The sequence below is a fragment of the Homo sapiens genome, chromosome 8 (assembly GCF_000001405.40).
Source record: "Homo sapiens chromosome 8, GRCh38.p14 Primary Assembly".
Classification (NCBI taxonomy): Eukaryota; Metazoa; Chordata; class Mammalia; order Primates; family Hominidae; genus Homo; species Homo sapiens.
The window spans coordinates 122,944,644-122,958,268 of NC_000008.11; the positions used below are offsets into that span (position 1 = coordinate 122,944,644).

General features: G+C 47.1%; 1 protein-coding gene across 26 annotated transcripts in view, besides 1 other annotated feature; it reads left to right on the forward strand.

Annotated features, from left to right (window-relative positions):
• The window catches only part of ZHX2 (zinc fingers and homeoboxes 2), a 194,132-nt gene that overhangs the window by 164,265 nt on the left and 16,242 nt on the right, over positions 1-13,625 (forward strand). For 20 of the 26 annotated variants that reach the window (NM_001412806.1, NM_001412805.1, NM_001412799.1 and 17 more), the window contains one exon: positions 6,649-9,385. The exons of 1 other annotated variant lie outside the window; for it this stretch is intronic. In NM_001412806.1, the coding sequence (NP_001399735.1) occupies positions 6,868-9,381 (2,514 nt within the window). In that variant the 5' untranslated portion in view covers positions 6,649-6,867 and the 3' untranslated portion in view covers positions 9,382-9,385. Of the gene's footprint in view, positions 1-6,247; positions 10,895-13,625 lie in introns of those variants that run through there. 5 more of the 26 variants (NM_001412808.1, NM_001412812.1, NM_001412797.1 and 2 more) reach the window with 4 other exon arrangements.
• Positions 3,264-3,763: an enhancer, noted in NCBI's record as "H3K4me1 hESC enhancer chr8:123960147-123960646 (GRCh37/hg19 assembly coordinates)". NCBI's record gives its function as "activates a minimal SCP1, AML or CMV promoter by ChIP-STARR-seq in naive H9 embryonic stem cells {active_cell/tissue: H9 hESC(naive)}" and the evidence as "EXISTENCE:reporter gene assay evidence [ECO:0000049][PMID:30033119]".

The window sequence follows — 13,625 nt, forward strand, 5'->3', positions numbered from 1 at the left end:
CATCCACCGCTGTATCTTCGGCAACTAGAACAGCATCTGGCACCACTAGGTGCTCTGTCAGTGTTTGTCGACTGCAGGAACCAATCACTTTGTGTGCCATTGAAGGGTGTCTAGATGGCAGTGCCCTGCCCAACAGTTGTAGGATGCATTATGCTCCCCTAAAATCCATATGTTGAGGTCCTAACCCCCTATGCCTCCGAATGTGACTGTATTTGGAGATAGGTAATTAAGGTAATTAATTACCCTAACTCCAAGGTTACATGAGGTCATGAGGGTGGGCCCTAATCCAATATAACTGATGTCATTATAACAAGAGGAGTTTAGGAAACAGACTCCCACAGAGGGAAGACCTCAGAAAGACACAGGAGGAAGACGGTCATCTCCAAGCTAAGGAGAGAGGCACCTGAAGAACCCAACCCTGCTGGCACCTTGATCTCAGACTTCCAGCCCGCAAAACTGTGAGAGAATAAATTCCTGTTGTCTAAAGCCACCCAGTCTGTGGCATTTTGTCATGGCAGCCCTAGCGAACTAATGTACCAGCTACGAACTCCTTGAGGACAGAGCTGTGGTGTCTTCATCTGTGCACCCCCAGCTGTCCACAGGGTTCTGGCTCATACTCATACTCAGTAAGCAAGGGTCTAATTGAGTTGCATTCCACTTGCAACAGGGAGGGTAATGATGGAAGAAGCACCTTGTGGCGAAGGGAAGAGCCTTGCACAGACACCAGAAATGGCCTTTTTGTCATTGTCTATGTAGACTGATCATTTCTCTTTTATATAAACCCTGTCTCTGCAAAAAAAAAAAAAAAAAAAAAAAAAAAGGCATGTATTCCGAGGCAATTTATTCCAAGGCATTGTTATGGTCTCATTATGGTTAGGGTTTCTTTGAGGGGCATAGCAAATGCTGCAGTGGATAAAAGGAAAACTGAGTCGAGATCAAAAACATGTAAAGGCAGCAAGGGTGTATTTGGAGCTCCAGGATCGTTTCCATGTAACATGCACTTGTCACACTCTTAGTTATCCCACGAGGAGCAGGACTTCAGACAGAGAGGGGCAACACAGAGAATAGCTGTCTTACCTCCCCTCCCTTCTCTTGGGAACCAGAATCTTAAACAAGTTTGCTTAGTTCTGACTTGTTCAGGCAACCTCCTGAGGGCAGGGATGTTTCTTGCTCCAGATAAGGGATGGTCTGTCTACAGCCATACCACCCTGAATGCGCCCGGTCTCGTCAGACAGGGGATGGTGTGATGACTGGCTGGAGTCTCCCCACTGCTGGGCCCTGGATGGTGCAGCCCAAGGGAGAACTCCCTGCTCCCTTTAAGTGTTTTCAGGTTGGCACAGGATGTGACTGTGCCCAGTTCAGACCCGCTGAGACACTGGCCCAGGGCAAGAACCACGACTTGCAACAGGTCTGCTGGGACACGCACCACTCGCTATGGAAGGGACTGTGTTAGAGTTTATTCTTAACATGTATTTTGTGTATTCATTCATTCACTTATTTTTTATTTTTGCCAACTTTGACCCAGGCATATCAGACCCGAAGACTTTGCTCAAAACTGCAAGTACCAGACTTCATGGTGCTGGTCCTCACCTTGCTGGTGGTTCACGGGCTTTCAAAATGACAGATACCAACATGCTACTATCCTTTAGACACCCAATCCCTGGTGCCAGGATCATCCTTCTAAAGGCCATATTTCTTGCAGATCCACCAAGAGAACCCTAATAGATTCTCAAAAGGCTCTGTGTTTTCTGAGCTCTCCTCCTTCTTTCTTTTCTTCCTTCCTCTTTTCTTCTTTTTCATCTGCTTTGGTTTGGATTCCTGGTTGCTGAATGAGTTTTAGAAGATGCTTTTATTTTGAACCACAATTTTTGGAACACTGAGAAGCTTCCAGGCCATTTTACCACTATTCACCTCATTTCGGGGGCTCACTTGTTAACAGATTTAAATAATGCGGGATATGGGAAGTTTCGGTAAAAAAAGGTATTTCCTCCCCTGGGTCTACTCCTGCCTGATGTCTTTTTTCTGCAGGAGGAAAGTGTCTTTCCTCCTCTCTTTTGAAAAATTTAACTCAAATGTCCCAAGCCCTTTGGCCAATGGGTGCAAATTTAGAATTTAGCCACATTCTGCTGTGTTAATAGTACTCCCCACAGAATTGTAGAGTCTCCCTTCCCTTACAGAGTTCTTCCACTCATGTAACCCCAACACACATGTTCACACGTGTGCACACGCATGCACACACACACACTACTGAGCATTCACAGGAGATTTTAGCATACCTCATCACTGAGCTGCAGTTCCCAAGAGATAGCCTCCCTACAGTTAATTTGTGATGCTGGGTGTGGTGGCTCACACCTGTAATCCCAGCACTTTGGGAGACAGAGGCAAGTGGATGGCTTGAGCCCAGGAGTTCGAGACCAGCCTGGGCAACAGGGTGAAATCCTGTCTTTGCAAAAAAAAAAAAAAAAAAAAAAAATTAGTCAGGCATGGTGGCTTATGCGTGTGGTCCCAACTTCTTGGGAGGCTAAGGCAGGAAAATTGCTTGAACTGGGAGGCAGAGGTTGCAGTGAGCTGAGATCGTGCCATTGCACTCCAGCCTGGGCAACAGAGCAAGACCCCATCTCTAAAAAAAAAAAAAACCTTTCTGCCTTGATGGAGTTTCTGTTCTTGAATGGTGCTGTCCAATAGGACTTCCTATGATAGAAATGTCCTTCATTGTATTAGACAATAGCCACCAGCCACAATTGCTTCTTGAGCACTGGGAATGTGGCTAGTATGACTGTGGTACTGAATTTTTAATCCTATTTAATTTTAACTAAACTCAAAAGGCCACATGTGGCCAGTGGCTACCATATTGGGCAGAATGGTTCTGCACAGAGATACAAATGATAAACAAGTGGATAGACACTTGCTCCTCTTTTAACCACAAAACATCGAAGTATGATGTCAGCTGTTGAAGAGTGCTGTGCAGAAAGCCACGCAGGGTGAGGAAATAGAGAGTGCTAAGGAGGCATTGTTTTGCAGAGGGGCAGCTGTCAGCAAAAGCCTCTCTGTGGGAGGCTGACTTTTCAATGGAGACCTAAAAACCAGGCGGTTCTCGGGGTGGGATGTTCTGGCAGAGGTGCTGTGAGGGGAGTGAGGTCCTGACAGAGCCACTGGAGTGTGAAGGGCGGCGGGAGAGGGGAGCCGGGGCCGGAGCCTGCCAGGTCTTGGTGGTGCCATTGCTGGAGATGAACTCTGGAGGCGTGAAAAGTATTTGAGAGGTGAGATCAAGACTCTGAAGATCATGGCAGGCGGAGGCTGGAGGTGGCGGTTTGGGCATGGTCAATAAAAAGAAACGGCTGCCCTCTTCTCTGGTTTGCCCCTGTCCTCTCCACCCCACTGCTGATGAATTTGACCAGCCTACACATGCCAGTGCTTTCATCTTCGAGGGGCCAGGTTCTGGGTTCACTAGCCGGGGAATGGCCCTTTCCCCAGCCCTGGCCAAGTGTGTCACCGAGCCCCTAAGCAGGTGGGCGTGGGCCTAGACTCTCAGAGTTGTTTGTGAAAATAAGTTCTTCGCTTTGGCCTTTATGCCCTCTCTTCAGTGGGACTCAAACCCAGGCCCATGGGAGAGGCCAGAGATGATATGCCATCTCCTGCCTTCCCTTCCCTTTCCTTCCTTTTCCTGGAAGTCGGGGATCTTTGCTTCAAAACATGTCTCCCACCTCCTTTAGCCCATCAGCTCTCTATTCTCGGTTCTGGGTTCTGTTAACCTAATAAGCAAATTGTTCCTGTACTTCCAAATCATCATTTGTTTAATGCAGTTCCAATCAAAATTCTAATAGAATTTTATTTCACAGGTGATATTGATTCATGAGACTAGATTATCAAAATAACCAAGAACTGTTTTGCGAAAAGAAAGAGTAATGAGGAGAACTCTACTAGATATAAAAATGTACTCTAAACATACAAAAGTTCTTTTAGAAGCAAGGCATAAGTGCAGTACTCAACAGCTAGATCGATACACAGATTAGATAACCCAGAACCAACCCTAGTAGATATAAAGTTTGTGTATGATAAAGGAGGTTTCTCAAAAATTAGTTAGAAAATAATAATGCATGCTGCTGAGATGGTTGGTAACTCTGAAGAAAAATGGTTAGAATTGTGTCTTACAGCTTAACCCAAGATAAATTCAATACCAGATGAGTTAAATGCAAAAAATAAGGTTAAAATATTCTTAAGAAAATGTAGATTAATATATTTCAGCTATCAAGACAGGGAATCACTTTCTAAATATAAAATCACAATGAAAGAGGCTACAAGAGAAAAAAATTGGTAAATCTATTAGCTAAAAATTAAAATTTCTACATGTTAAACGTTAAAAAATATATAATATGCACAACTAAAAGGTAAGTGATAGGGCCAGACGCAGTGGCTCAAACCTGTAATCCCAGCACTTTGGGAGGCCAAGGCAGGCAGATCACCTGAGGTTAGGAGTTTGAGCCCAGCCTGACCAACATGGAGAAACCCCATCTCTACTAAAAATACAAAATTAGCCTGGCGTGGTGGCGCATGCCTGTAATCCAACTATGCAGGAGGCTGAGGCAGGAGAATCGTTTGAACCTGGGAGGCAGAGATTGCGGTAAGCCAAGACCGCGCCGTTATACTCCAGCCTGGGCCACAAGAGCAAAACTCTATCTGAAAAGAAAAAAAGGAAAATGATAGACTGGGAAAAGTTTTGCAACAAACTTAGTAAAGCATTAGTATTATTTATGTAAAGAGAATTCTTGCAAATTCATAATAAAAACCACTGAATGTCTAAATAAAAATGACATAAGCAGACAATTCATAAAAGAATATAAATAGTGGGCAAATCTTTGAAAACAATCCAACCTTATTGTCAATCAAGAAAAGCATACAAGCATATTAAAACAGTCTTCTTGGCCAGGCATGGCTCACACCCATGATCCCAGCACTTTGGGAGACAGCAGCACGTGGATAACTTGAGCCCAGGTGTTGGAGACCAGCCTGGACAACATGGCAAAACCCCTGGACAACATGGCAAAACCCTGTCTCTACTAAAAATAAAAATTAAATGATTAGCTGGGCATGGTGGTGTGTGCCTGTAGTTCCAGCTGCTCAGGAGGCTGAGGCAGGAGGATTACTTGAGCCCAGGAGATGGAGGATTGCTTAAGCCCAGGAGATAGAGGCTGCAGTGAGCTAGAATTGTGCCACTGCACTGCAACCTGGGTGACAGAGCCAGACCCTGTCTCAGAAACAAACAAAAATCCAAAAAACTGTTTTTCCCTATCTAATCAGCAAGGCTTTTTAACAGTAGTATTTTACTACTGTTAAATAGGCTGGATTGTGAGTAGTATTTACTACTGTAAATAGGCTGGATCCAGCTGTATAGGCTGGATTGTAAGTCAAGCCCTCTCATACACTACCAAAGAAAAGGCCAGTTGAGGCCAAAACTCTGCCATACATATGGGTCAAGAGAACCACTTCTAGGCATCCATCCAAAGGTAGTTATCAAAAATAAGGATTAAGGGTATTCACTGCAGTTTTGTTGATAAGAGCCAAAAACGAAATAAATTTCCAACAAAAGTCCAATTGCTGTAAAAAAAAGAATGAGTTTATGTCCTTTGCAGGGACATGGATGAAGCTGGAAGCCATCATTCTCAGCAAACTAACACAGGAACAGAAAACCAAACACCACATGTTCTCACTCATAAGTGGGAGTTGAACAATGAAAACACATGGACACAGGGAGGGGAACGTCACACACCGGGGCCTGTTGGGGGATGGGGGACAAGGAGAGGGAGAGCATTCGGACAAATACCTAATGAATGCAGGGCTTAAAACCTAGATGACGGGTTGATGGGTGCAGCAAACCACCATGGCACATGCATACCTATGTAACAAACCTGCACATTCTGCACATGTATCCCAGAACTTAAAATAAAATTTTAAAAAAGTCCAATGGCTGAACGTATCATGTGTGGTCTATCCCTACAATGTACTAACATGCATTATAGGGATATACCACACGTGATGATTTCATCACGTGATGAAATAATGATTTTTAAAATCATTATTTTGCTCACTATTTATGGAAATGGGAAACTGTTTAAGTGAGATGAACTATAAAACTGCAATATTGGGGGGGTGATTGCTTTTTTTTTCTTTTATACTTTTCTGCATTTTCTGGATTTTCTATCATGATTTTGCTTTTATGATAAGCAAAATGTTCATATCTGTTTTCTAGCGCCTGAGTAAATTTCACTTGCCAACCCCTGGGGACACATCTCGCTTCCGAGGTACCATATCTAAAAGTGGCTTGCAAGCACACCATCTGCGACTCCCTCTCACCGCTTCAGAGGATTTTAGGACCTGTCTACCTTTCCTGTATTCCTTTGTCTCCAAACATGAAATGGTGACCCTCATCCATGTTTGTTTGGTTTGGGCCTGTTTTCACCTCCTTCCAAAAAAAGGAAGAGAAGAAGAATGTGATTTTTCGTGTTTCTAAGCACTTTCACGCCGTCTGTGCATCCATAGATGTTCGATTTGGGTGCCTGTTGGGCTGGGTCATGGGAAAACTCATAAAGAAGTGCCAGTTTCTTTTGCGTTGTGAAGAGACACTGACCCTGTCTTTGTTCTTGTCCACAGATATGATGCTTCCTGGTGTGTTTAGTGGTTGGTGCCATTCCAATTTTCTGTGCTGAAATCATTCTGAAAACTCAAACAGTAGACTTCAGCACACAAGGAAAGCCAAAGCCATTTGAGGGGGAATAAAGCCAAAAGCCTTTCACCTTATTCGTTCCAAGAATCTCACCGCCCCCTCCTTATCCCCCTCCAAAAATAAGCCATTGCACACAGACAGGCAGCATGGCTAGCAAACGAAAATCTACAACTCCATGCATGGTTCGGACATCACAAGTAGTAGAACAAGATGTGCCCGAGGAAGTAGACAGGGCCAAAGAGAAAGGAATCGGCACACCACAGCCTGACGTGGCCAAGGACAGTTGGGCAGCAGAACTTGAAAACTCTTCCAAAGAAAACGAAGTGATAGAGGTGAAATCTATGGGGGAAAGCCAGTCCAAAAAACTCCAAGGTGGTTATGAGTGCAAATACTGCCCCTACTCCACGCAAAACCTGAACGAGTTCACGGAGCATGTCGACATGCAGCATCCCAACGTGATTCTCAACCCCCTCTACGTGTGTGCAGAATGTAACTTCACAACCAAAAAGTACGACTCCCTATCCGACCACAACTCCAAGTTCCATCCCGGGGAGGCCAACTTCAAGCTGAAGTTAATTAAACGCAATAATCAAACTGTCTTGGAACAGTCCATCGAAACCACCAACCATGTCGTGTCCATCACCACCAGTGGCCCTGGAACTGGTGACAGTGATTCTGGGATCTCGGTGAGTAAAACCCCCATCATGAAGCCTGGAAAACCAAAAGCGGATGCCAAGAAGGTGCCCAAGAAGCCCGAGGAGATCACCCCCGAGAACCACGTGGAAGGGACCGCCCGCCTGGTGACAGACACAGCTGAGATCCTCTCGAGACTCGGCGGGGTGGAGCTCCTCCAAGACACATTAGGACACGTCATGCCTTCTGTACAGCTGCCACCAAATATCAACCTTGTGCCCAAGGTCCCTGTCCCACTAAATACTACCAAATACAACTCTGCCCTGGATACAAATGCCACGATGATCAACTCTTTCAACAAGTTTCCTTACCCGACCCAGGCTGAGTTGTCCTGGCTGACAGCTGCCTCCAAACACCCAGAGGAGCACATCAGAATCTGGTTTGCCACCCAGCGCTTAAAGCATGGCATCAGCTGGTCCCCAGAAGAGGTGGAGGAGGCCCGGAAGAAGATGTTCAACGGCACCATCCAGTCAGTACCCCCGACCATCACTGTGCTGCCCGCCCAGTTGGCCCCCACAAAGGTGACGCAGCCCATCCTCCAGACGGCTCTACCGTGCCAGATCCTCGGCCAGACTAGCCTGGTGCTGACTCAGGTGACCAGCGGGTCAACAACCGTCTCTTGCTCCCCCATCACACTTGCCGTGGCAGGAGTCACCAACCATGGCCAGAAGAGACCCTTGGTGACTCCCCAAGCTGCCCCCGAACCCAAGCGTCCACACATCGCTCAGGTGCCAGAGCCCCCACCCAAGGTGGCCAACCCCCCGCTCACACCAGCCAGTGACCGCAAGAAGACAAAGGAGCAGATAGCACATCTCAAGGCCAGCTTTCTCCAGAGCCAGTTCCCTGACGATGCCGAGGTTTACCGGCTCATCGAGGTGACTGGCCTTGCCAGGAGCGAGATCAAGAAGTGGTTCAGTGACCACCGATATCGGTGTCAAAGGGGCATCGTCCACATCACCAGCGAATCCCTTGCCAAAGACCAGTTGGCCATCGCGGCCTCCCGACACGGTCGCACGTATCATGCGTACCCAGACTTTGCCCCCCAGAAGTTCAAAGAGAAAACACAGGGTCAGGTTAAAATCTTGGAAGACAGCTTTTTGAAAAGTTCTTTTCCTACCCAAGCAGAACTGGATCGGCTAAGGGTGGAGACCAAGCTGAGCAGGAGAGAGATCGACTCCTGGTTCTCGGAGAGGCGGAAGCTTCGAGACAGCATGGAACAAGCTGTCTTGGATTCCATGGGGTCTGGCAAAAAAGGCCAAGATGTGGGAGCCCCCAATGGTGCTCTGTCTCGACTCGACCAGCTCTCCGGTGCCCAGTTAACAAGTTCTCTGCCCAGCCCTTCGCCAGCAATTGCAAAAAGTCAAGAACAGGTTCATCTCCTGAGGAGCACGTTTGCAAGAACCCAGTGGCCTACTCCCCAGGAGTACGACCAGTTAGCGGCCAAGACTGGCCTGGTCCGAACTGAGATTGTGCGTTGGTTCAAGGAGAACAGATGCTTGCTGAAAACGGGAACCGTGAAGTGGATGGAGCAGTACCAGCACCAGCCCATGGCAGATGATCACGGCTACGATGCCGTAGCAAGGAAAGCAACAAAACCCATGGCCGAGAGCCCAAAGAACGGGGGTGATGTGGTTCCACAATATTACAAGGACCCCAAAAAGCTCTGCGAAGAGGACTTGGAGAAGTTGGTGACCAGGGTAAAAGTAGGCAGCGAGCCAGCAAAAGACTGTTTGCCAGCAAAGCCCTCAGAGGCCACCTCAGACCGGTCAGAGGGCAGCAGCCGGGACGGCCAGGGTAGCGACGAGAACGAGGAGTCGAGCGTTGTGGATTACGTGGAGGTGACGGTCGGGGAGGAGGATGCGATCTCAGATAGATCAGATAGCTGGAGTCAGGCTGCGGCAGAAGGTGTGTCGGAACTGGCTGAATCAGACTCCGACTGCGTCCCTGCAGAGGCTGGCCAGGCCTAGACAGGTAATTCCACCTGCTCACCCAGGCAGCAGGGGAGAACGCAGCTTGCTTTCTTTTCGTTGCCAGGGTTAATATAGATTGTAGGGTACAGAGATGTTGACACAGATGGTGGCGTCTTTTTCTTGTAATTAACAAATAAGAATGATGTATATTGATCACATACAATATGATGTTTTGAAATATGTTTACCTAGTGGGATGGCTCAGTTAAGCTGATTCCCGTATGCATTACCTCACATACTTATTCTTGTAGTGGAAGGGTCTGGTTTTGGTTTTGGTGTTTTGTTTTGTTTTGTTTTTAGTGACAGAGTCTTGCTCTGCCACCCAGGCTGCAGTGCAGTGGCTCGATCATAGGTCATTGTAGCCTCAAACTCCTGGGCCCAAGCGATCCTCCCCCCTCAGCTTATCAAGTAGCTGGGACTTCAGGCATCTGCCACCACACCCAACTAATATTTTAATATTTTGGTAGAGACGGGGTCTCACTTTGTTGCCCAGGCTGGTCTCAAACTCCTGGACTCAAGGAATTCCTTTGCATCTGCCTCCCAAAGTGCTGGGATTACAGGCATGAGCCACTGAGCCCGGCTGATGAGTTATTTGTAAAGGTTCTTTGAAAAAAGAAGAAAAATGGGGGCTGATGGAACCTACGTCCTCATTTGTAAGGCTGTGCCCAGGGGGCAGCACCGCTGGCTGTGGCCTGTTTGGGCTCCAGCCTTCAGGCCTGTCCATTCTGAAGGTTAGTTTTGACTGTTAGAAAACACATCCTCCCTCTGTGTGTTTTGTGTTTGTTGCTGTAAAAACACCAAACATGAAGAGGTTGTTTCTTTTTTTTTTTCCCCCCTTTTCTTTTTGGATTTTTTAAGAATACATATCCAAGTTTACTGAATCAAAGACCTGAGCTTATTTCTTCTAATCTGAAAAGGCTTTGAAAGTGCTTGATATTTGCCTTGTCAGGGCAAAAGGAAGGTGCCACTGTGCTTGGGTCCCCATAACCCCTTCAAATCTGGAAGAGCCGGGTGTAAATTAGGCCTGTAGAGTCACATAAGCCGGGGGGGGGGGGGTGGCAGGGCGGTTTCCATGGTTACTAATGGCCATGTCATCCCCATAATGGGACATGCCACTGAAGCCCTTGGTATTCTGCTTCCTAAGAGGTCAGTGCAAATCGAGGCCTGAAGCACAGCAGCTTGGTGGTGAGTTGAGAAATGGGGGCAGTGGCAGGGGGAGGGCTGGTGGGAGGGAAAGCAAATATTACAAGGAGGAAGATGCACGATTTGCCCAGGTAGGCTTCTCCAGAGGTCACTTAAAATACCACGGAATGGGCCTCCCAAGTTATCTTTACAAAATATAAAATAAAGGTAAGAACCTCCAGAATGATTGATAAGGTCCCAAAGGCAGCCCTGGAAATTACCACACCTCTGTCTTAATGAACTTGGACAACTTTGGCTGACCACGTCGCTCATTAACTCATTGATTCACTAATAAAATGAGGCAGCTGACAAATAAATGAAATTCTCTAGAAACCTTGTTTTAGCCAGTTCCATCCGCTATTAAAAGAGCACTTTAACGAGCAGCCAATCCCAGAATGCCATCATGTTCCATTCTCCTTTCTCCTCCCACTTGCAGGAGGAAATGCCTGTGTGTCAAGGGTGTGGGCACAACCCAAAGGGGAGGGCGTGAGTGAAAGGAAGGGGATAGAAGTGTACTGAGGTCACAATGACAGCAACTTCCCACCTCTACCTGGCCACCTCTGGCCATTCTCCCACCTTAGAAGAACCTACCAGTCTAGCCCATACCTCCCTCATTAAAATGAGGGAGTGATTTTTTTTTTTTTTTTTTTTTTTGAGACAGAGTCTCACTCTGTTGCCCAGGCTGGAATGCAATGGCACGATCTCAACTCACTGCAACCTCCACCTCTTGGGTTCAAGCAGTTCTCCTGCATCAGCCTCCCGAGTAGCTGGGATTACAGGCATGCGCCACCCCACCCGGCTAATTTTCATATTTTTAGTAGAGACGGGGTTTTGCCGTGTTGGCCAGGCTGATCTCAAACTCCTGACCTCAGATGATCCACCCACCTTGGCCTCCCAAAGTGCTGGGATTACAGGCGTGAGCCACCACGCCCGACCTCCCATCTTCTATCCTTGATCTTTTCCCATCCATGACACGTGTCTACATGGTTGCTTTTTCCTCCCACCCCAGAGAGGACAATAGGGTTCAGTTCCATTCAACAGTACCTTCTGAGCACCTACTGTATGCCTGCTGCTACTCCAGGAGCTAGAAACAGTGCCATGAGAGAGACAGACAACACAGTACCCATTCACTGTGGAGCTCGGGCAGGCCAAGGAGAGAGGAAATCGCATTTTCCTTTACTCATCAGTGTGATATGTGTTACGATGGGGAAGGGCACGGCTCTGGGTCAGGGCTCAGAGGAGGAACACCTAGGTAGGGGGTTAGGGAGCTTCTTGGAGGAAGGGACATCTGACTCAGGGGATGAGAAGGAGTTAGCCAAGTGCACAGACAAGGGAAAGAGGGGTCCACATGGAAGAAGCAGCACAGGCCAAAGTCCAGAGACAAGAAAAGGAATGCCACTGGTGAGAAACCAAAAGAGGTTGGGCATAGCCAAAAGGTAGAGTTTGGGTTCGGTAAAGGATAAGAGGAGGCAAACTGAAAGCAAACTCAATGGTTTTCCATAACAGACAAGCTATTCTGAACGAGTTATGTTTGCTGAATTTGAATAGAAAGATGCTTAGTGTCTCTGTATCCCAAGGTAAGCTCAGATGGCACTTCCAGTCCCCATGGCTGAGTGGGAGGTTGTCTAGGGGCGGCGGTTCTCCAGAGGCCCCGGTCCCCATCTCTTCTCTCCCAAGCTAATACCACCACCACCAGTTGAAAATGCACATGGGGGTGGGATGTTATCCTGCCTGATGCCCCAGTGGCCCAAAGAAGACAGTAATGAGGGAGGGAATGTTAAAACCATACAGAAAACCTTTGGGGAGGAAGGATGGAATGATGAACGAAGGTCGCCTGAATAGCAGAGGTCGAGGTAGGTTCTCTGACTATACATGGTCTTACTTAATTCTCCTAGGGAGGTAGCTTCTCTATAAACCCAGAAACAGACTCAGAAACCAAAGAACTTACCCACATTCACCCAGCCAACACATGAGTTTGTCTCCAGAGTCCTCACTCTTCCTCCTGCCATCTTTACCTCATTATTTCTGACAGAAATTCTCCATTTCTAGTATACCCCCGTTCTCAGGACAGGGACTAGCTGTGTTCACAAAAAAAAAAAAAAAAAACATGCAGGAACCCCACTTTATGTTTAATTATGGTAAATGCCCCACCTGTGAGCTAGAAAACATCCCTAAACAGGATGCTAAGATCTGTTCCACGTGTGGCAACATCAGATATCTCTGATGGCTCCCTGATATTTTGGAGGTCCATTGTTTTGTTTTGTTTTGTTTTGTTTTGAGATGGAGTCTTCCTCTGTGGCCCAGGCTGGAGTACAGTGGTGCCATCTCAACTCACCCCAACCTCCGCCTCCCAGGTTCAAGCGATTCTCCTGCCTCAGCCTTCCAAGTAGCTGGAACTACAGGCACGTGCCACCATACCCAGCTAATTTTTCTATTTTTTTTAGTAGAGGTGGGGTTTCACCATGTTGGCCATGCTGGTCTCAAACTCCTGACCTCAGGTGATCCATCTGCCTCAGCCTCCCAAAGTGCTGGGATGACAGGCAGGAGCCACCGCGCCCCACCATTGGAGTTCCATGGTATTGAGAAAGGGGCTGCCTTCTGCACTAGGGGTGGCATTGAAAGTTCTCCCACATCCTGGACAGAGGCACTCCTTAAAGGAATCTTTCAATTTAAAGGGAAAAAAAATCTCTCCAAATTGCTTCACAGTTTTCATGAACCAAACACATGAGTCTCTTGAATTCATAAATATTCAGTGATGTCCCTATTTAAATACTTATTTATTTAGGAACCTGCAGTTCAGTTCAGTTATGACACATAATAATCCTGAAATAATTCATGGTTTTGACTTTATAAAAAGTGTTATGTGATGCACAAGAGGGTGAAGGGGGAGGAACTTGAGCAAGCAGCTGAGAGCTGGCTCTAGGACTAGATTTCCTCTGTAGGCGTTAAGCATCTCCTGCAACCAAATCTCTCTAACCTCTGCAAAGCTTAGGACAGCATTTGACTCAGTCCAGGCTCACCTCGGCCCTGAGGTTAGACACAAAGATAAGGAATACTTCC